The 23,481-nt window shown below is 48.0% G+C and overlaps 2 long non-coding RNA genes across 6 annotated transcripts in view, besides 1 other annotated feature; both read left to right on the top strand.

Annotated features, from left to right (window-relative positions):
- The first annotated feature begins 5,770 nt into the window (after positions 1-5,770).
- On the top strand, positions 5,771-14,296 carry LOC107986476 (uncharacterized). 3 transcript variants are annotated; one of them, XR_007059052.1, is made up of 3 exons: positions 5,771-7,980; positions 8,195-8,383; positions 11,270-14,296. It is a non-coding gene; the product is annotated as an uncharacterized LOC107986476 (long non-coding RNA). The 3 variants fall into 3 exon arrangements; XR_007059053.1 differs by having other exon boundaries at positions 5,773-6,228; XR_001742987.2 differs by having other exon boundaries at positions 5,777-8,383; positions 12,485-12,591; positions 12,684-13,128.
- Positions 14,297-18,181: 3,885 nt separating this feature from the next.
- LOC105377725 (uncharacterized) overlaps positions 18,182-23,481 on the top strand; it is a 41,656-nt gene continuing 36,356 nt past the window's right edge. For 2 of the 3 annotated variants that reach the window (XR_007059050.1, XR_007059049.1), the window contains exon 1: positions 18,465-21,119. This is a non-coding gene — a long non-coding RNA (uncharacterized LOC105377725). Of the gene's footprint in view, positions 21,120-23,481 lie in introns of all 3 variants that reach the window. The other variant, XR_001742985.3, reaches the window with a different exon arrangement.
- Positions 18,490-18,784: a silencer, noted in NCBI's record as "tiled region #9260; K562 Repressive non-DNase unmatched - State 21:Repr". NCBI's record gives its function as "represses a minimal TATA promoter and a strong SV40 promoter by Sharpr-MPRA in K562 cells {active_cell/tissue: K562}" and the evidence as "EXISTENCE:reporter gene assay evidence [ECO:0000049][PMID:27701403]".

Below are 23,481 nucleotides of genomic sequence, written 5' to 3'. Positions count from 1 at the left end.
ATGAGCCACCATGCCCGGCCCCGTTCTGCTTTACTATGTAGCCTTTGTCATAGCTTTACTATGTGTGAGGAAGCTTTGTTGTGGGGAGAACAACTGTGATCATACACATAACTAAATGGAAGAGCCTGTATAGCAGGACATGGGGGCTCAGTGAACCCAGTGGGATTTGAACCCAAGTCTTGCTGATAGATGCATGGTTCCTGGAAAGCTGTAGAGGAGTTCTGGGCCTCTGCTGCCTGTGGGACCCACTGGTGGCCTCACCAAACTGGCTCTCACCCTCATGCCCTGAGACAGCAGTCACTGAGACTTAGGTTCTAAAACTGCAAGTGAAATTCAAGGGGTATACAACATGGTTCCCTTTTTTCAAGAATTTCAATTTTTAGTTTGGATTCGGGGGCACATGTGCAGATTTGTTACCTGGGCATATTGCATAATGGTGAGGTTTGGGGTACGACTGATCCCATCACCCAGGTACTGAGCTCATACCCAATAGGTGGTTTTTCAACACGTATCCCCTCCCTCCCCCCGTCTAGCCATCCCCAGTGTCTACTCCTGCCATCTTGGTGTCCATGAGTATCCAAAGATGTGGTCCTGTGGCTGCTGCCCCCTCTGTAACTCTATTGGTTGGAGAGCAGAATTCAGGAAAGCAAAGTTGACCCTGGCCCCCTTTCTGTAAGCCTTGGTGGCATAATTTCATTACCCAGGCAAGTACATAACCTTGATTACCTTCCTCATCTTGACCCCCACCTCCCAAACCCCATTCAGCCCTGTCTAGAACTTCTGGATACAGCACGTGGCCTTATTTTTCCAGGAACAAGGTTCATTGTTGTGCTTCTGCGGTGCCCACCACATGATTTCTGGGACAGCCTTGTCAACCCTCTGGGTGTGATCTCAGCCAGAATGTGTCACGATGGCAGACATGGGATGAAAGGAACTGGGAAGAAAGGAACTGGGATGTTCAAATGGTCCTAGACTCCACAGGTGCCCTCAGAGGCGAAGGGGCTTCCTGCTGAAGCCCAGACCCATCCCAGCAGCATTTGGACAGGACTGTCATTACTACTGAGGTCCCACTTTTGGTGACTGTGGGGTTCCAAAACGGTGCCTTTCCCTGGGCGAAGTCAGGCTGAGCTGGCACTGGCTCTTCGAGGAGCAGCCGAACCCCAAGTTTCCCGTGCTGACTCACGGAATAAGAGCCAGGGCCGTGGGCCACCTGCCTGGGGTCTGCCCTGGTTGTGCCACGAGGTCAGGAATTTGGGCAGGCTTTTAGCTCTCAGATCCCTCCGTAGCCGGAGTTCACAAAAACTTCGCTGCATCACTCCAGTGTCAGCTTTTGGTTTCTTGAGCAACTTCTCCTCCGCCACCAATTTGCTGATTCACTCAGTCTCTTCCTATTTAAATCCAAAGGGACAGAGCCTGATCAGCTCCATGACTTGAAACTCCTGGGTGGGGCTTTTTGTTCCAGCGTCCTCATAGGTCACCAAGCAGCCAATGGATGCGCTGCTCTTGAGTTCAGGGGACCCTTTTGACCAATCAGGGGGCATTCCTTGTTCAAGCGCAGCCTAAAGCCATTTCCCTCCCCCTGGGCCTCCTGATGGGATGGTTTCCCTTAGGAGGGCACTCAGGTGTGGCTGACACCATCACTCACAGATCAGGACCCAAACTCCGCCAGGAGGCTCTGCTCCTCCCCATCCACCCCAGCTCCTTGCTAAGCTTTGACAAGGTCAGTATAACTGACTGAGATCCAAGGGACAAATGCGCCCGTGTTTCATGGCTCCTGGAAGTGAGAGGGCTCAGCAGGAAGGCATTGGATTCACAGAGCAACATCATCAGCTCTGCAGCCAGGTCTCTGACTCCTACTCATTACCGCAGTGTCTACTGGAGTCTGACTTATCTCTTTTTATTTTTAATTTTAATATTTTAATTTTTTGTAGAGAAAGGGGTCTCGCTGTGTTGCCCAAGCTGATCTTGAACTCCTGGCCTAAAGCATCCTCCTGCCTCAGCCTCCCAAAACGCTGGGATTACAGGCACGAGCCACCACGGCCAGCCCATGACTTATCTTTAAATCCCAGTAGGTAGCCCAATGCCTGGCACTTGGTTGGCCCTCAGGATACTTTTCTTGGAGTAGCCATAAATAAGTGGGTGCCCCAGGGAGGTTGGGATGAGCAATACTGAGAAGTTTAAGGCACAGTTCTCCTGCCAAAGCGGTTGGTCTCTTTCCACCGTCACCTGGTTTCCCTGGATCAGCTATTACATCTCATTAATATCTTATATTTCATTTTCTTTGTAGTTCCCTTGCAATGTTTCCCAATGTGTGTCCTGTGGGACAATAGTTCAGTGGAATATTAATTAAGTATTATAGTGCAAAGGGATTCTGAGATCAAGTGAGTTTGGGAAATAGCAAGTTAAAGAAAAGGAAGCAGGTTTATTTGCTGAGGGACTTATCAGAGCCTTTCATGTGTTCATGGATGTTGTTACCATCCACAAAGGTAACAGGGGCTTTCGTGTTTCCCACACCTTTTTGACCTTGAAATCATTATTTTTTCCCCTTTGAGTATCTCACAGGACTAGTGTTCTGAGGAGCAGTACACTGAGAAATGGTCCTCTAGACAGAGAGGAAATGCTGTCTTCCCCCTTTATTGGCTATGTGGGATTCGTATAATTTGCTTATTTGTCGGATCCATTATTGCTGGGTGTGGGAGAGCAGGCATGTGTTAGACTGTCCATCTTCAGAGAGGTTTCCTGCTCTTCCTGTTCGTCCAGTAGTTATGGGCTGTGATTGTTATGGTGATAGCAGGGAGGCTGCAGACCCCAGAGGGGATTAGGCATATCTGTGTGTAAACTTTGGGCAATGTCTTTCTTTCAACTGGGCTTGAATCACAGCATTGCATACCCTAAGAAAACATCATGAGGTATATAAAGTTCCCATACTCCCATTAAGTGGCCTGGTTTTCGTCTTTAAGTATGGTGGGGCTGGTAGGAGTAGAACACGGGATGATGTATCACTTCTCCTGGGTTTCTCAACCTCAGCACGACTGACATTTGGATGGGATCATTGTTTGTGGGGTCTGTCCTGTGCCTTGTAGGATATTTGGCGGCATCCCTGGCTTCTACCCACTAGATGTCAGTAGCACGTATCATCCCTCCTGCCTCCCCATTGTGACAACCCAAAATGTAGGCAGACATTGCCAAGTGTCCTCTAGGGGACAAAATCCCTCTCCCATTGAGAACCACTGCTTTAAGAGAAGATTACCCAAAGTCTGTGCAAGGCTTTTGGAATACTCTTGGAAGGATTTTTATCATACTCTTGGAAGAAGGAAGTAGTGCTATCATGCTCAAAGCATGGTCTGAGAGCCTATAAGACGTGCCAGCTAATGAAACTCTCCCCTGGGGTGTTTTCGTAACTCATCCTTAAGGCTCGTATATCTGTTGAGTTTCTTGGTTGCAAGTTACAGAAAACCCAATCCAAAATGGTCTAAGCCAGAAAATGAATTTTTTGGCTGTGGTAACTGAAGAGTCCGACACAGTGCTAACTTTAGGCACAGCTGGATCCAGGTGCTTAAGCAGTGTTATCAAGAAACAAGAATTTTTCCAAATCTTTGCTCTGATTTCCTCATTATTGATATCATTCTCAGACAGGCTCTTCCCATGTGGCAGTGAGAAAGCTGCCAGCAGCTCCGGCCTACTCCTCACTAGAACAGATCTGGTGGAAAGGGAAAGCTTCTCTTCCCTCATGGTTTGAATGCAAGTCCTGGATCTGATTCCCATTGGCCTGGGATACTACGCTATTCTCATTAGCTGTGCCGGGTTCACACGCCTGTCCCTGGAGCCTGGGGAGGAGCCAACACCAACGGAACCATTTGGTGGGGAACAGGAGAGGAATGGTTCTTTAGAGGCAAACGGGGCAGTTACTTGAAGAGAGGTCAGCGGATGCTGGTCAGACAAGCACCTCTATTGCCTCATTCATAAAAATAACTAAACGACAGCCAATAACGGCAGCTCCCACTTGTCGAACATGAATTCTGTACCAGACCCTACCTATACTGCGTGATCGCTAATCACCACCAGCATCCTGAGAGGCAGCTGTTGTCAACCTATTTTACAGATGGGTAAGTGGAGTCTCAGAGGCAGATGAAATGACTTGGCTGAAGTCACAGAGTGGGGCAGTGGCTGAGCCACAGACCGGAGGCATCCTTTTACCTCCTCTAGGACACCCTCTGTAACTGACTTTCTTCCTGCTGCAATCCAAAAGGTCTCCCAAGGTCGCCTGTTGCTATTTTGGAAAGAGGTGGACAGATACTGGAGGGCCACTCTTCAGGCCACTGCCCAATCTTTTCTTGTCAATTTGATGTCAGCTTGTGCCAATCATCCCTGAAGGGCCATTCTGACACAGCAAGTAAGGGAAAGCTTGGCCGGCGTTTTCTGGTTTGGCTCTGTTCTGCCTGCTTGGTCCATTTTCCTCACCTCCGTTTTTGCCCGTTGCCGCTGTTTTTATCTTCCATCCCCCCAGGGAGCCTGCAGAGGGTGCATTAGTAATAAAGCTAACATTTCCAGAGAGAGAGAGAGATATCAAGGAATTTCCATGACATGATTTCATGAAGTTTTCTCAAATATCATATCAAGTAGACACTACTATTATCCCCATTTTACAGATGGAGCAACTGAGGCCTGGAGAGGCTAGAGGACTTGCCCAAGGTTGCCCAGCCAGCAGATGGGAGAACTGGTGTTTGAATCCAGGCAGGACCCATTGCTTTTATTACGGTACCAAAACTTCAGAAAATTGCAAACCAGTGGCCTGTGAGTCAAATCTGGCTAACAGATATATTTTGCTTGGCCCACATAGTATTTCAAAACCCATTTGAACTCATTGCCAATGTTTAAAAATTGAGAACCTGCACATCAAAAAACAAAATTTGTTCTTTTCTGCTTCTCTTGAAAAAAAAAAAATCAGAGAAGATTGGCACCACTGGGCCTACATTCCTGCCTGGCAGAGACCGGCTGGAGCTGCAGCTCAGTCCCAGGTGCCTGCTTTGGGTGGGGTGTGTTCCTCCAGCTGGATGCAGTCCCCACCACTCCCTAATACCTTCCCAGTGCTGAGGCCGGTGTCATTTGCTGTGGCTCACTGTGTGTGCTCTGCGGTGTCCCTTGCGCCCCTCCTGGCTTACCTGCCTGGCTCTGGAGGGCACATGGGCTTGCTGCTCCTCCCCCACATGCAGGAGCTCCCGCCAGCCTCTGACCACAGTGGTTTGGGGTTGCTGTAATCTCTCTCCACACATTCAGTGGAACGGTCTTCTGCTGGTGAAGGTCTGACTTAGGCACTAGAAGAGTTGGACAGAGCCCCAAATTTTCCTTTCCTCCAGTACCCCAATCCCACCCCCTCCCACACTTTGGTTTATTGGTCAGCAAAGGCCACTTTCTTGGCAGTGTTTGTCTTGGGTACACAACCACTTTTTCTTGCTCCCCGCAGAGCCCCCTAACGTTTTCTTCCTAATCCTCCTCAGGAGAACCATCACTCGGATTATCATGAAACCCGAGCGTGTGCGCATGAGGTGCGACCCTTTACAACCGGCGGACCATCTCGTTTCTGCCCAGTTCTGTTTGTTTAAACTCTTTGCTGGCAGGACCCCAGCGCAGGGGCAGAGTTCCATGGCGTTCACAGGCAGATGTTCTGGCCTGTTGCAGGGACCAACGTTAAAAGCCGGGGCAGGAGAGCTGGTGGCCGGAATCCAGGCCCTGGGGGCGGAGGGCACTTCACGGAGGAAGGAGAGGGAGTTCAGGGAGGGAGTTCAGGGAGGAGAGGGATTGGGGATGAAAACAACAGCTCACTGTCCTTTTGCAAATGGAATTTACAGGCCCCATTTCATGCATGAGAACACTGAGGCTTAGAGAGGTGGGGTTACTTGAACAAGGTCACAAGGCTGGTTAAAGTAGGGAAAATAAATGAAATATTTTACAGTTCATGGCATAAGAATACGCCAGTTTCAGGCATGTAGATGATGATGATGGTGGTGGTGGAGATAATGATAATGATGATGACAGGAACTGAAGGGCACAATTAAGGCCTTAAAGATCTCCTGGATGTGGTCACTGTAACCTGTCAAGGCATGACCTGGAATCTTTTACAGCATGGCTTCTCTCCTAGAATCACAGAGTGGCCAAGAGTGAGGACGTTGACACTACACAGACCTGGGGCAGACCCGGCCCTGCTGCTGAGTGGTTGACTGGCCCCAGGTGAGTTCTGTAACTTCCATGAGCCTCAGGGTCCTCATCTGCAAGATGGGAGGAAAGAGGAGATCACAGGAATTTTGTGAGGAATAAATAAAAGAATGTATAGAAAGCACAGAGCCTGTGTCTGGCATGCAAGACTTGTTGAGTAAATGTTAACTTTTCCTGTTTTACTGTGAAGTGGCAACATGAGGTCCTGCACACAGCCAGGGTTCAGTGAATATGGCTAAGCCCAGAGTCCTTATTGGGAGAAAGTGGCCAGAAACCAGGCTCAAACTCCAGTGCCTCAACTTCCTAAGCGTATGCAGCTTGAAAGAACATTACACCCCCTCAAAGGGGGTAAAGTCAGTGTGGGGGATGACACTTCCCTTCAGGTTTGCTGGGGGATGAGACGCTGCCTGTAAAGTGCTCAGCACATAGTAGGTGCACAACAAAGTTATTGTTCATGTTGAGAACTAGTCTCATGCCCAGACTGGGCTCACCTCAGAGGGGTCACACACATTCCTTTTCTTCTGGGAAATCAAGGTGAACTGGATGAATGGCTCAGCACCTTCTCACATGCAGACCTGCTGGGAGTGGGAGGTGGACCTACGGGGTTCTGCACCATCTGGAGCTCATTTCATGGACAGAAAGGAAACAGAAAGGCAGGCACGCTCTCCTGAGGGCCTACTATGTCCAGATGCTTTGCTTAAACAGAGAATATTTATTTCTCAGTCACAAACTCAGGTGTGCAAAAATGCAACTTTGTGTCCAGAACGCAGTTAACTCTGGTTTCCCACCCACTCCATGTGCCTCACCACAGGCTGCTTAATCCAGTTCTCTTCTGGCTGGAACTCAGGGATTTAAGCTCTGATTTGGGTTTGTAATTCAGGTTTCCTCCTCCCTCTCTGGGTGGTGGAGGTGGGATGCGGGGGATGGGGGGCTCTCTTCTGGCTCTGCCCCTTCTCTCCAGCCTGGCTCCCTGGGTCTGATGACTGCTCTACCAAACGGTGGCCTTGACCTCTGTCTGGTGCTGGCCCTGGAGCCCCGTGAGATGTCAGCCTGGATGTAGTGGGAGGTCTGCAGGAGCCCCGCTCAGGAAATGCGGATCCCTTGAGGCCCTCTGCAGGTTTTCACAGGCGCTGACACCCAGCGCTTTCATCCTGTGTCCCAGGGTGGGAACATCTGCATCCCCATATTTCAGGAGTGCCGTTGCCTGTGCACCCACAAGAGGTCTCATCTTATCCTGGCAACAGCCTGTAGGGTTGGGAGCAGCTGCGAGCCATTTGTGCAGGAGTGCCCGGGGAGATGGTTACGTGCTTCATCATTCAAGCTTGCCCTCCCTCTCCTAGGTAGCACTGCCTTGAAACTACTCCTAGCAAGAAACACAGCTTCTGATCATGGGAGAACCTATTTGCATCACAGTTCACAAACATGCTTTTAGACACTCTCCACTTCAGTGGAGGAAACAGAGCCCCAGCGAGGGGAAGAGACTTACCCAAGTCACGTAGCTAAGAGGCAAAATCAGGATTCAGACTCAGCCTCCCAGCGCTCACTCCACAGTGCCTTGTTGGCCCAGCCCTAGAAGGCCTCCTGGCTGGAGGCCATTGCCTGAGCCTGGGGATGACACATATGTCCACTGGATGTCATGATTTCTCTACTGAAGCTAGCTGGACCTTCTTGGCAGTGACATAGGATTTTCCCCCTTCCTGGGGCAAAGCAGTCTCATATGGGACACTCAGGTGGTGGCTCTCCCTCCTTTTGGCTCAAAGACAGGAGGTAAGGCCTGCATCCTGTTTTCCTAGGGTGGGGAAAGTCTGCACACAGGTGGATCCACTCTTTCCTGGGGACCTGGGATCATTGCAGCCTTCTCCACCCCACAGGCCCCTCCACAGCCTCTGCCCAAATCCCCTTTCCCGGACTCCAAGTTGTATCACCTTAGTTAACGCTTCATTCCCCAGGTGTCTAAGAAAAAAATGTTCTCCCCATGCAGTTTCTCCACCTGGGAAACAGGCGGCCTTCTCTCTCTCTACGTCATCAAGTCAGTGCAGAGCGCATGGAGCAGCAACGCCCTGCCCAGCTCTGGGCTGCCCGCTGCGTGCTGAGGATCCAGAGACAAACCAGCCATGCTCCTGGCTGAGCGGAAGGTCCTCCCGAGCCTGCACAGTCTGAACTTGCTGAGGTGAGCGCTCTCTGCATTGAGATGACAGGGAAGGAAGCACAGGCATTTCTGGGGGAGTCACGGGGTCGGCCTTCGAGGCCTCTCAAAGTGCTGAGGCTTAAATGACAGGGCATGTGGAGCTGGAGCAGGAAGTGAAAGGCAGGGGTGGGCCTCCTTAAAGAAGAGCCCTGCGGCACTGCCATCCATCACCCACACCACCTTCAGCATCACCTCCCCACTAGGCCCTACCCCACCACCCCAAGGCAGTGGGGAGCCAGGCCAGGGCTCAGCACAAGAGAGCCTGGCCTCTTGTCCTTTGATTCTATTATCAGCAAATGACCTTGGGAAAGTCAGTTGACCTCTCTAAGCTTTCGTTTTCTCATATGCAAAGAGAGAACAACACTTAGGCAGTGCAATCATATATACAGAAAGTACTTTGGAACAAGCAAAAAATAAATAAATAAATAAAAACACTGATTTGGTGTTTGTCAATTGAATGTTTTGATAACATTTATCAAGATAATCTTCATTAAATATTCTAAGAGTGGGCCGGGTGTGGTGGCCGAGGCAGGCAGATCACCTGAGGTCAGGAGTTTGAGACCAGCCTGGCCAACATGGTGAAACCCCGTCTCTTCTAAAAACACGAAAATGAGCCGGGCGTGGTGGTGGGCACCTGTAGTCCCAGCTATTTGGGAGGCTGAGGCAGGAGAATTGCTTGAACCCAGGGGGCGGAGGTTGCAGTCAGCCGAGATCACACCACTGCACTCCAGCTTGGGTGACAGACCAACACTCCATCCCCACCACCCCATCTCCCCCAAAAAATATATATTCTAGGAATGAAGCCCGAATGGCCAATGGACATGCAAGGAATGGGGAAAGATCCAAATTAACCAATGGGGCACATTTGGCAATAACTACTGAGTCCTGATTTTATAAGCCGGAGGGAAAGAGCTTTATTCTTTACCAAATTTTAACTAGGGATGGCTCATGCCTGTAATCCCAGTGCTTTGAGAGGCTGAGGTGGGAGGGATTGCTTGAAGCCAGGAGTTAGAGACCAGCTGGGGTAACATATCGAGATCTTGTCTTGACAAAAAATTTTAAAAAATAGCCTGGAGTGGTAGTGTGTCCCTGTAGTCTCAGCCACACAGGTGGCTGAGGCGAGAGGATCACTTAAGCCCAGGAATTTGAGGTTACAGTGAGCTGTGATTGTGCCACTGCACTCCAACCTTGATGACATGGTGGGACCCTGTCTCTAAAAATAAAACAACAAAATAAAAAAAACTTTATCTAGTGCTGGGAAAGTGCAGTGAACAAGACAGGCAGCCAGCCAGACAGAAAGTATGTCCACCCTTTTCACATGCAGTCTCTCCTTCATCTTTCCATGAATCCAGTGAGGAAATGGGCTTGGAGAGGTAAAAATGAATTTTCAAAAACATATAGCACCAATAGCAGACAGGTGCTTCACAAAGAAAAAAAAAAAAACACAAAGCAAATAAATGTTAGCTACCATTTCATGACCACCATGAAAGGAAGAATTATTTAATTATTTTACCCCAGAGCCTACTTTTTCCCCCTTGCAGTCTCCCTAGGACTGAACTCTCTTTCATTGCACGTATACCTGTTGTATTCATTGGGATGCATTCTGCTGTAAGCAAATAGGATTAACCAGCTAACAGAGGCCTATACAATCAAGACATCTTTTTTTTTTAAACAGAGTCTTGCTCTGTTGCCAGGCTGGAGTGCAGTGCTGTGATCTCGGCTCACTGCAACCTCCGCCTCCTGGGTTCAAGCGATTCCTCTGCCTCAGCTTCCCGAGTAGCTGGGACTACAGGCCCACGTGACCATGCTTGGCTAATATTTTGTATTTTAGTAGAGACAGGGTTTCACCTTGTTGGCCAGGATGGTCTCGATCTCTTGACCTCGTGATCCACCTGCCTCGGTCTCCCAACCCAAAGTGCTGGGATTACAGGCATGGGCCATGGCACACAGCCAACATCTTATACTAGATATCTGCAGGCCGGCAGTCAATCCCAGGTTGGTCCAATGACTTGAAGTTAGCATCAAACTCTCTCTTTCTCTTTATTCTGCTGTCCTCAATGTATTTCCTTGAAGAGTCCAGACATATCCCCTCACAGTCAAGAGGCTACCACAGCTTGGATCATCATGTCTTCGGACGCTGTGTTCGAGGCAGAAAGTAGGGGCTCCTCATTTACTAAGAAGAACAGAGGTTCTGCAGAGTCCAGGCGTGTCTTTGACCAGAACTGGATTACATGACCATCTCTAGCTATAAGGAAAGGGAAAGGATCAGTCAATGAAGGGGAATGGGAGTGCCTGGCTTTCTTAGATCAAGCGTGCATCCCCTAGGGCACCTGCTAACACTTGGGGTTCTGTTAGCAAAGAGGAAGTGGGAGGCTGGCTGCTGGGGGCAGGAGGGGACCTAGGCAGCTCCCGGCCCCCATCTCCTCTCCAGATGGTTACATTCCAGAAATGAGGGAGGAAGTCTAATCCAGCACTTGGGGTAACACTGCTGTCATGGTTGCTCCTGATGGGAGGATGGGTGTGATCAACTGAGGAGTGGGGGTGTGGGGCTGAAGGTAGAGGGGGAGAATTGGAAACCTTGAGTAGCAGGGACTGTGTCAGGCATTCTCTGTGGCCCCAGGTGAGGCCAGACACAGCATGAGGGTTCAACAGGTGTTGGTTGCTTGAATGAATGAACGAACGAATGCAGGGACAGGGGCAGGACTCATCTGCTCTGTCACCTGGTGCTCTTAACCCCGCAGGGCCCCGATACATTCCTTCTAGAGCCTGGTTCCAGGAAAAATGTTGTCTCTGCCGAGGTCTGAACATGCTTTCTGTTGTTGGAAAATGAAAACTATGCAACCCCATGTGCTTCTCTTTCTGCCTTAGCTGCCAGAAGCCAGAGCCAAATGTGTCGCCCAAGTATGGGGGCTGCGCTCCCTGGTTTCTGAAGCACCACCTCGGCTTCCTTTGGGGAGCACTGTTCAGATTCACCTGCCTTGCGCCAGAATCTCTGGGCACCCCCATGCCTAGCCCAGGGCAGGAGCCAAGTCTGAAAGAAACTCAAGTGCTTGACAAGCTCATCCGGGAAAGCACAAAGCTGTCGGACCTGAGAAGGACGTCTTATCAAAGTCCACACTCTCCGATCTTAGAGGAGACGAAATAGGAGGGCAATGGCTTCCGTCAAGGCTGAAACCAAACATTTTGGCTATATCTGAACGACCACTGAATCACCGAGTCCACCGTATTTTTCCACTTTCAAGTTGTTTCTGGGCTGCTGTGGAGACACGCCCTTCCTGGGTTTAATGGCCCTCGTGTCAGGCTGTGGGGAGGAGGCGTGTTTACTTTTTGCAGGGAAAATAGTGGTTAATGGTGGACGGATGGACCTGATTAGTAATTGGGTGATTTATCCCATGAACGTTCTTTGGGTTTTCCCGGTGGTTTGCACTTGAATGTCGGCTGAATGAAGTAGGAGGAGGGACTAAGAGGAAGATGGTTTCGAGGAGAAAGGGGTGGGGTTGGCTCAGGGTTGAGGGCTGTTTCAGGGACAGGTGGAGGTTTGCGCAGATCAAGGGAGAAGGTTGTTCCATCTGTTGTCCAAGACTCTTCCTCTATGTTCATTCACTCACTCGCTTAATCGCTCACTCACTCATTCACTTATTGAAAGCTATGAAATTCTGAGCACCTTCTCTGTGCTGGGGATACAGCACACCTCATACCTCCTAAGTACCATGCAGCCAGTGTGATGAATAAGCTCTCTTTCTGCCATGGACTGAGCCTTGTGTCCCCGGCCAAATTCCCGTGTTGAAATCTAATTCCCAAAGTGATGGTATTTGGAGGTGGGGTCTTTGGGAGGTAAGTAGGTCTTGAAGGTGGATCCCTTGTGAATGGGATTAGTGCCCTTAAAAAAGAGACTGAAAAGAGCTCCCTGGCTCTCTTTCCACCATGTGAGGACACAAGAAGAAGTCAGCCTTAACCCAGAAGAGGGCCCTCACCAGAACCTGATCATGCTGGCACCGTGATTTCAGACTTCCAGCCTCCAGAACTGTGAGAAATACATTTCTATTATTTATAAGCCACCCGGTTTCTGGTATTTTGTTACAGCAGCCTGAGCTGGCGAAGATGCCCTCCTTTAGAGGAGCGTGCAGACTTGATAAGGGAAACAGATGGGCCAACAGATAATTCCCAGCAGAGGTGTGTTCAAACATGAGGTAATAACAGCTAACGCTTACTAGGCATTTTCCATGTACCAGACACGGTTCTAAGTGCTTTTCATGTATTAATCATTTGTTTCTCTCAACAGCCCTGGGGACTAGGTACTAAGCAGATGGAGGAACAGAGATGTAAGTAACTTACCCAAGATCACACAGCCAGCAGATCTGCACCGAGGCAGTGTGTCCAGCTTTTTATCGTCATGGTATCCAGGTCTACTTTGGAAACGAGGCGGCTATGCCTCAAAAGGGAAGGGTTCCCAGAGAGAGTGATGTTGGACGTGGGCCTTGAGGAGGAAGTAGAGAAGTTTTAGAGGTAGAGGAGGCCACAGCAAGATGCCCCAACAGCTGAAAGTGCCTGTCACGTGCCAAGAGTGGCAAGGGGTGGAGGTTTCCTGAGAGGGGAAGTGGAGGAGAGGCCGGCAGGGCCAGACTCTGATCCTTTCTTGAAGGAGTGGCTTGGGTAGTCCGATTTTAAATGAAGAAAGAGCTCTCAGCGGGGTGCAGTGGCTCACGCCTGTAATTTCAGCACTTTGGGAGGCCAAGGCTGGTGGATCACCTGAGGTCAGGAGTTCAAGACTAGCCTGGCCAACATGGCGAAACCCCGTCTCTACAAAAATACAAGAATTAGCCAGGCATGATTGTGGGTGCCCGTAATGCCAGCTACTCGGGAGGCTAAGGAGGGAGAATCGCTTGATCCCAGGAGGCAGAGGTTGCAGAGAGCCGAGATGGCACCACTGCACTCCAGCCTGGGTGACAGAGTGAGATTCCATCTCTAAAACAACAACAAAGAAAACGAAAACAAAACAAAAAAAAGAAGGAAAAAAAAAGGAAGAGCTCCCAGGCAGCTCAGTAGAGAATGGCTTGAGAGGTGGGGGAAGATTAGAGGCAGGGGAAAGTGGACACCTGCTGTTTCAGCCCCCTAGCACCTGCTCTTCCCCAGGAGACAACCTCCTTTGTTCTGAGGCCTGGTGTTTTCACTGATGCTGACTGCTTGAGGGGTGGCACATGACTCAGGTCTGGCCAATCAGCCTCTTCCATCCCCCTGGCTGCAGGGACTGGCTCAGGAGGGTGCATGTGACCAGAGGCCGACCGATGAGACTCAGTTCTGAGATTTTTGTTAGACTTGTTGCAGAAAAGAGACTGTCTCCTGAGGTTGCTGAGCTGGGTATCTCCACCAGGAGCTGCAGGGGCCATGCTGTCACCATGTGAAGACAGGTTGCTTGACAACAAAGTTGCATTAGTTTCCTTGGGCAGCCATAGCAAAGTATCACAGACTGGGGAGCTTAAACAACAGAAATTTATTTCCCCACAATTCTGGAGGCTAAGTCCAAGATCAAAGTGTCAGCAGGGTTGATTTCTTCTGAGGCTTCTCTTCGGCTTGTAGATGGGTGGCTGTCTTCTTCTGGTGTCTTTACATGGTCTTCCCTCTGTATGTGTGTGTGTCTGTGTCCCAATCTCCTCCTTTTCTTCTTCTCCTTTTTTTTTTTTTTTCTTTTGGGATGGAGTCTCTCACTCTGTCCCCAGGCTGGAGTGCAGTGACCTGATCTCGGCTCACTGCAACCTTCACCTCCTGGTTCAAGTGATTCTCCTGCCTCAGCCCCCCGAGTAGCTGGGACTACAGGCACAAGCCACCATGCCCAGCTAATTTTTGTATTTTTAGTAGGGACTGGCTTTCACCTTATTGGCCAGGCTGGTCTGGAACTCCTGACCCTGTGATCCGCCTGCCTTGGCCTCCCAAAGTGCTGGGATTACAGACGTGAGCCACTGTGCCCCGGCCATACACAACTCATAATGGATTAAGGTCCACCTAATGACCTCACTTAACCTTAATTACCTCTTTAAAGACCCTGTCAGAAAATATAGTTACATCTGAAGTACCCGGGGTTAGGATTTCAACATACTGGAGGTGGGAGGAGCACAATTCAGCGCATAACAGAAGCTAACACAGAAAAAAACACAGAGATGGGGTAAGAGACTGAGGCTTGACTTTGTTTGAGCTCCTGGATCCAGCTGTGCCTGAAGTTGAAACTAATACTATCCAGGACTCTTGAGTTTCATGATCCAATAAGTACCTAAATCCCACCTCTCCTTTTTTTTCCCCTCTTGAACCTAGTTGAGTTGGATTTCTGTCACTTACAGTTAAAATTCCTGAGTAATACACAGGAGAACTAGTTAACAAATTATTAAAATAGCCCACCCCTAATTTAATCACCATGTGCAAGGACAGTGCTTGTATGTACACCCAGGTATGTCTAATTCTAATAGCTAGAGGTAGCAAATATGGTAAAAATTGAGCCAAGTTTGCACTAGCCTCTTCCATTAAGCAGGAATTCCCACCTTAGCTCTGAAGCCATGTAGGACAGGGCTGGAGAAACTACTATTCCTACCAATGTTTCTAATGTGTGCAGTAGGCTGGGGTGCTGGCAGGGGAAAATTAAAAATGTAGTTTGGGTTAAAAAAAAAAGAAAAAGAGCTTTCTAGGCCAGGCGCAGTGGCTCACGCCTGTAATCCCAGCATGTTGGGAGGCTGGGGCGGGTGGATAGCTTGAATCCAGGAGTTTGAGACCAGCCTGCGCAACGTGGTGAAACCCCGTCTCTACAGAAAATACAAAAATTAGCCAGGAGAGTCGCTGTGTGTCTGCAATCCCAGCTACTTGGGAGGCTGAGGTGGGAGGATTGCTTGAACCCAGGAGGCGATGGTTGCAGTGAGCCGAGATGGCGCCACTGTACTCCAGCCTGGGTGACAGAGTGAGACCCTGTCTCAAAATCAATCAGTCAATCAATCAATCAAACAAACAAACAAACAAAAAACAGCTTTCCAGAAGGGAAAAATCATTTTGGGAAGCTTTGAGTAGGGGCTGTGGAGAGTGGGCTCCAGACGTCACTTCATTGGTTGGCAGGTGCTGTTAGGGGGTGCCCAGAGGGGAGCTCGGGGGAGCGGCGGCTTTCTTCCAGCAGATATGGACTCGGGCAGGAGCCACTGAGCAAGTACTCCGATGGGCTGGGCTTCCTGAGGCTTCATGCCTGGGCTGAGCAGGGCGGGGCTGTGGTCCACGTGGTGCCCATTGGCCTCCCAAAAGGAAGGAGCGGGGAGAACTAGAAATGTGGCTGGAAAAAGTCAGCATCTCCCTCCTGGGCGGGCTCCCTGGTGGTCCCGGGAGCTGGCCATGTCTGGAGGAGGAGGCTCCTCTAAGGTGTGCAGCTGCCTTTCTCAATGCCGCTGAGTTGGATTGGGATCTCTTTCAATGAGAGTGTTTTGAGGGACCCTCAGCTCCATGCTCTGCTGGCTTCCTCCAGGGATGCTGAGAGGTGGCCCTTCTAGTGGTAAGATGAGGGGCCCATGGCCTTGTGGAGTCAGACACACTGGCATTCACTGAAAGCTCTGTGCCTGACCTACCTGGTGACTTGGGGCAAGTGACTTCACCTGACTGAGCCTCTTTCCTTCATCACTGGCAAAATGGAACCAACTTCACAGCCTTCTCCTGAGGCTTAAGTGAAACCAAGCAGTCATAAAGGGATAGGCTTTGGAGTCCCTGGGTTTGCATCCCAGTTTACTAACTGAGCTGGGTGGCCTTGGGCAAGTCACTCACCCTCTCTGAGCCTCAGTGTCCTACTCTGTAAAATGAACCCACCAATGGTACTTATTTCCTAGGGCAAATGTGAGGATTGACAGATAAAACATGTAAACTTCATGAAAGCAAGGGGTTTTGTTATTGATTTATCCCCTCTGCAGTTCCTGGGACATAAAGACACTAAATAAATGGGATCAGCTTTTATTGTTATTATGATTCACCGTCACCCAGCACTGGTTGAGGCTGCTCTCTGTGGCATCCTGTAGACACACTTGTATGTGAGTTTCTGGTCAGGATGGGGAGGACAAGACCACTGTCTCTGGCACACTTAGCAAACTCTATCTCCAGGGATAGAGTAAGACTCCTATGGTGCAGGAGGGGGCATGAGGGAAGGCTAGGAGTGCCCTCTGCACTGTTTAAGCACCTCACTTGTGTCATTTCACTGCACCCATACCCACGCCCCATGAACTAGATTCATTTATTACCCCATTTGACGATGAGGAGGCTGAGGTTCATCAAGGTATAGCCATTGAGATCTTACTGCCAGGGAGAGGTAGAGCCAGGGTTCAAACCTGAATTTGTACTGTTCCAAATCCCTTTTTTAAAAATTTTTATTTTTATTTTTTTTTTATTTTCCCAGGCTGGAGTGCAGTGGGCAATTAAGGCTGACTACAGCCCCCAACTCCTGGGCCCAGACAATCCTCCCGCTTCAGCCTCCCAAGTAGCTGGGACCACAGACGTGTGCCACAGTGTAGGCCCCTTCTTTTTAAATAGCGTGGTATGCAGGAAACAGTGAAGGAGGGATGGAGGGTCAGAGTCACCGGGTAGAGGGTGCGTTCCTGGGCCGACTGGGGTGGGGCCTCTAGGAATGAGCCACAAGGGCAGGCCCCACCGCCTTCTCTCATATTTGGCAGGTGCTGTGTCCCCTGCTCCGTGCCCCTCAGGATTCTTTAGGAAGTGGCTCCATCGACCCACTCTCAGTTGAGCTGAAAGAGGACTCGAGGGACTCTTTATTGGGAAAAAATGGAGTGCAAAGCCTACTCCTGCCCCTGCCAGCACCAGCCTTCGGAGGCAAATAAAAAGCAGTGGGCACTGGGACAGCAGCCCCAGAGGTGCACTAAAATCCACCTGACAAATGGCCCCTCTCCCATGAGCCCACGAACAGCAGAGAGGAAGGTGGCCAGGGCCAAGTAGAAAGATTTCTACAGCATGGCCGAGTTCTCCAAGGTCAAGAGCAAGCAGAGCTGCCGCCTGTATTCCTGAGAACTGGCCTCCTGGGGATGTGGCCAGCCCTTTTTAAGGGATTTGGGTCAAGGTGGGGATTCTGACCCTCACCGCTGTGCTGGGACTGGCCTGGGAACTGGGAAGGAGGATACACTTGGGAAAACTGCAGTGAAGAATGCATAATAATGGAAGGAATCTCATGGATGATTATCAGGTAGCTCTCAGGATCAAGAGGAAAGCTGGAGACGGCCTTTCGGCAGGAAGGGGGAAACTGAGGCAGAAGGCAGACCCTGCCCAGTGATGGTCCCTTTCACATGTCACTACTGGCACCATCACTGTGGGACATATACTCCCACCATGGGCACTACAGGCTCTGGGTCTTGCTGTGCTCCCTGGACTGTTGACTGCCTGGAAGCCTCTGGGAGTCACCTCTCGCTCTGTAGCTTCAGGTCTCTCCTCCCAGAGTCAAACTCCCCATGGGCAGGGCTGCTGGATAAAATACAGGATGCCCAGTGACATTCTACTTTCAGATAATTGAAAAAAATTTTTTAGTAGAAAAAAGTTATTTATCTGAAATTCAAATTTAACTGGATAGCCTGTATTTTTATTTGCTAACTTAGCCGCCCCACTCAGAGCGCTGGGCCCTGCTCTGGTGCCTGGTGGGGAGGAACTCTGTCTCTTCCACTTCTGGGGTAAGAATGTCAATCTTGTTGGATTGGATTGATTACATTGTTTGGATGGAAAATAGAGGAAAAAGAGCACATACAACTGCGACTCCTTAAACCTGTCCCCCTATTTGTTTTTTTTGTTTTTTTTTTTGAGACAGGGTCTCACTCTGTCACCCAGGCTGGAGTGCAGTGTCATGGTCAGGGTTTGCTGCAGCCTTGAAGTCCTGAGCTCAAGTGATCCTCCTGCCTCAGCCTCCAGAGTACCTGGGAGTACAGGCGTGCGCCACCACACCCAGCTAATTTTTGTAATTTTTTTTTTTTTGTAGAGATGGGGTTTCACCATGTTGGCCAGGCTGGTCTCAAACTCCTGGGCTCAGGTGATCTGCCCTCCTCGGCCTCCCGAAGTGCTGGGATTACAGGTGTGAGCCACCATGCCTGCCTGTCCCATTTCCCCATTTTAAAAAAGTCACCTGCCCGATTGGTTTTCAAAGCTGCCTTCACTCAAAGAGGGCCTGGAGGGTAGGAATGACTCATACAGTCATTCATTGTCTGTGCCCGCTTTTCATAGCACAAAAGATAGGTCCTTCCCATCCCGCCCATCCTCTCCCTGCTGGTCATCTTGTATGCGGAGAATCCAAGGATCTTCTTACCAATGAGTTCTTGCCGCTCATGAGCAGGTGAAGGAGTGGAGCTGAAGTGGAAATAATCTATGGGCTGGACTGTCTAGACAGCATTTGCTCCTCTGGATAGGGAGGAGAGCAGACAGAAGCGGGCTTTGGCCAAACTGAAACTCAAGCCATCACTGCCAGCCCTTCCTGAGCCATCTCAGATGAGCCTTGTCTCTGGGCCACAGCCAGAATTGGCCTGGGCTGTTTCTCACTCCTATTTCAAAGGATTTGTGCTCCTAGCAGAGGAAAAGCTTGAACATTTACAGTGAAAAATTTAGTAGAAGGGGGAAGAAACAGAGGGTCTTTCTTTCTTTCTTTCTTTCTTTTTTCTTTCTTCTTTTCCTTCTTTTGTCTTATCTTTTGGTTTTGGGGCAGTGAAAGAAAATTAATTTTTTAGCTATAAAACTTTGTCTTAAGATCAGTTTTGGAAAGAAAAGCATCTACTAATTGAAAACGTCACTTTTCGGGCCCTTAAGTCAAGGGAAACAGGTGCAAGTTTGTGGTTTTAGACACAGCATTTCTTTTGGAAAAAAGTAGTAAAAGTACCCCAGATAAGTTCTCTCCAAAGCTGGATAGATTTTTATTTTTCAGCCCTTTATTACATAGAAGGTGACAGATTAGCTGAAAAGTTAAAAGAAAAATCAACTCTCACCCTTGTAGGTAACACTCCAATCTCTCTCTCTCTTTTTTCTTTCCAAGGCTGAAGAGAGGGCAACTGTTTACTGCAATTTTGATAAAATTCCCTTTCAATACGGCCTGTTCCTGGATAGAGTCCCACCTTTCATCTGCTTTTATTCCTAATCCTGTGGCAAAGCCTGGACCTCCCTTTTCTTCTCATACAAGCTCGACAGAGCTGGCATTTTCCTTCTCCATTTCAGTGACATGTTTTTCAGTGTTTTGTCTGTTTGTGAAGGGGCAGAAATGTCAAGGTCAAAAAAGTCTTGGAAAAAATGAGTAGTATTTCTGTACCTGCTGAGGGTTAGGTGCTTGGATGTTATATATCTCTGCATTCCCACAGTAAAACCATGTGTGGTTGGGGAGCTTTTCCTTTTTTAACCTCTCTGGGTGGTTGAGGAATTGGAGGCTCAGAGAGGAGAAGTGACACAGCCCAAGGTGACGCCACCAGGAGCTGAACTTGAAAGCCAAGCCAAGTCCGTCTGACCATCAAGCGTTGCTCCTATAATCATACTACCTTGCCTTCTGCCTTTGTAAACATGAGGTGACACATCAAGCTAGGGCTATTAAAATACCCAGAAGCACTTTTCTTCCAAATAACTCACAATATCTTGTCTTTGGGAAGTATTCAATAGGTTTATTTCAGTAAAAGATACACCATTGCCATGGTTTTAGGGAGTGATTCTGAATTTTATGTTACTGATTAAGAAAGATGGTTAATGGAACCTGTTTCCTTAAGAAATTTACATCATATATTAGTAAGCTGTTGCTGTGTAGCAAATCACACCAACACTTAGTGCCTTGAAGTAACAACATGTATTATCTCACAATTTCTGTAGGTGTGAAAACTGGACATCATTTAGCTGGGTCCTGTGCTTCAGGGTATCTCACAGGCAGCACACAAGGCTTCATCTGGGCTATACTCATCAGAAGGCTGGATTGGGGAAGATCTGCTTCCAAGTTTACTTACATGGTTGTTGGTGGGATTCAGTTCCTGGTAGGCTGCCAGCTTTAGCTCCTCATTTCCTGATGGCTGGAGGGTTCCCTCAGTTCCTTTCCATGTGGGCCTCTCCAGCATGGCTGCTTGCTTCATCAAAGTGTACAAGAAGGGAGACAGCAATAGGAACATGTCAGCAAGATGGAATCCACAGTCTTTTTAAAGCTAACCATGGAAGTGATATTCCATCACTTTTGGTGTATTCTGTTTGTTAGGAACAAGACACTAGGTCCAGCCCACCACTCAAGGTATGGGATTACACACGGCATGAATACTATGGGGTGGGGATCACTGGAAATTATGTCAGCAGCTATCTGTCACACATGAGAGAAGTGGAGATGGTAGTCATAATAATAGTCATCATCATCATAATAATAAGGCTGGTGAGGATAGCCAGCATTTATTGGGTGTTCTTGATGCATCAGGCACTGGGCTAAATCCCTTCTATGCATTGTCTCCTTTAATCTCCTCATCACTCTCATTAACTTCCCTGAGTTACTACAGCAAAGAGATTAGGACCAGACTCTGTTGTTTCCACTCCGAAGTCCATCCCTTTACATGATGCAGATCATTGATAAGAATCCACTGAGCTGCTGAGGCTCCAGGAAAGACCTGATTGAGAGAGGAGTCTGATAAACGAAGCTGAACTCACTGCTCCTCAGAAAACTGCAAATGAACACAACCAGAAGCCATTTCTTACCCATCAGATTGGAAAAGAAAATGTAAGTTGGTGAGAGTGTGGAGAATTCTCACGCCCTGCAGAGAGGCTATAAATTTGTACTGCCACCTTGTAGGGAAATTTGGCAGGACATATTAAAATTTTAAAAGGACATAAAAATTAAAAATGTGCATAGCCTATGACCTAGAAATTACATTTTTGAGTATCTGCCTTAGAGAAATACTTGCACATGTGCACAAAGAACTGTATACAAGAATTTTCATTGCAGCGCTGTTTCCAAGAGTAAATAATACATAGTAACACTGAGACAGAGTGTAAGTGCTCATCAGTTTTAAAAATGGCTAAATAAATTTTGCAAATTTTTCTACCAAAAAGACACATGCACTTGTATGTTCATCACAGCACTATTCACAATAGCAAAGACATGGAATCAACCTAGGTACCTATCAATGGTGGATTGCATAAAGAAAATGTAGTACATATGCACCATGGAATGCTATGCAGCCATAAAAAAGAACAAAATCATGTCCTTTGCAGCAACATGAATGCAGCTAGAGGCCATTATTCTAAGTGAATTATCTCAGGAACAGAAAACCAAATACTGCATGTTCTCACTTGTAAGTGGAGTTAAACAATGGGACTCATGGACATAAAGGTGTCAACAGTAGACACTAGGGACTACTACAGTGGGAGGAAAGAAGGAAAGGATTGAAAAACTAACTATTGGGTACTATGCTCAGTACCTGGGTGATGGGATCAATTGCACCCCAAACCTCAGCATCACACAATAAACCCAGGTAACAAACCTACTCATGTACCCTTTGAATCTAACATAAAAGTTAAAGTTATTTTTAAAAAATACATTGTGGAGCATTCATACTATGGGAAACTATGTAGCTGGTAAAGAGAATGAGGAAGATCTATGTATTAGTTCATTTCCACACTGCTGAAAAAGACATACCTGAGACTGGGCAATTTACAAAAGAAAAAGGTTTATTGAACTTACAGTTCCACATGGCTGGGGAGGCCTCACAATCATGGTGGAAGGCAAGGAGGAGCACGTCACATCTTACATAGACGGCAGCAGGCAAAGAGAGAGCTTGTGCAAAGAAACTGCAGTTGTTAAAACCAACAGATCTCATGAGACCCATTCGCTATCATGAGGACAGCACAGGAAAGACCTGCCCCCATGATTCAGTCATCTCTTACTGGGTCCCTCCCACAACATGTGGGAATTATGGGAGCTACAAGATGAGATTTGGGTGGGACATAGAGCCAAACCATATCAATCTACAAGTATGGTATGGAAATATCTCCAAAACATGTTACTGAGTAAGAAGAGCAAGTTGCAGAGTTATACCCTTAGCATGATACCATTTAGGTAACTCCCAACAATATTACATATCTTCTTTCTCTCTATCTCTCTCTCTGTGTGTGTGTATAGGTATGTATGTATTCAAATGCATGAGAAAAGGTCTGGAAAGGTGCACACTAAACTGATAACAGGAGATGAGGGGAGGGTAAAAGACTAGAGTTGAAGGGTGAAGGAGTCTTCAACTTTGTATGTAATATTTTTGTTATTTTTGAAAGAAAAATGTTAATTGCCTTACTTATGTCATCTGAAACTATTTCTTTTAAAAACCTTCCCTGGAAGCCTTGTCCAGCAATTTTCCTTAGATTGTATTGGCCAGAACTGGGTAATATGGCCACCCTTGGCAGCAGAGGTGTCTGGGAAGGTGAATATTTTAACTTTGCTGCCAAGAAAATTAAGGAAGAAGGTTATGAATGGCTTTTAGGTGGCCGATTAAAAATGTCTGCCATAGTTCACCCTTTTAGTTACCCAACATCCACTTGCTTTTATTTCTATACATATACTTTATGTACAGTCCAAAGTCCAAAGGCAGTTACTGCATCCATCTTGAAACTCAGGATCTCTGAGTAATAATGTGCAGTCCACTCATCAGGACAAGATGTGGGAGGATACTTCCTGCTTATTACCTTAGCTACAGCTGAAAGATATTGGGGTTGCTGTCTTTTCTGGGGACTGCACATTTCTTCTTGGTAGAAGTTTGATCCCCAAGGATTATTTTTAGAGTTGAACAGTCACAGGCTATCATAGATTGTTTGGAAATATACATTCCTCAAAAATGTAATAGAGATCCAGTCTTTGGTTTCAGAGACTTCCATATGTAAGTAACCACAAAAGATTTTATCTAGACAGAGTAGGTAAGCCTAAATGGTTTTTTTTTTTTAACCCATTGTCTCTCTCTGTGCCCTATCCAGCCCTTTAGCCCTTGGTTTATTGGCTGATTCTTCAGGGCAATTTAAAATAGCAACCTTGGGTGGAGAAACATCTCCTTTAATTTGATCTTTGTGTGTTGGTGCTCCCTCTTTATTTGGCAGGA

Source organism: Homo sapiens, chromosome 5 (assembly GCF_000001405.40).
Source record: "Homo sapiens chromosome 5, GRCh38.p14 Primary Assembly".
Lineage (NCBI taxonomy): Eukaryota > Metazoa > Chordata > Mammalia > Primates > Hominidae > Homo > Homo sapiens.
The sequence above is the reverse complement of the archived record's forward strand: the minus strand, read 5'-3'. Positions and strand labels throughout refer to the sequence as shown.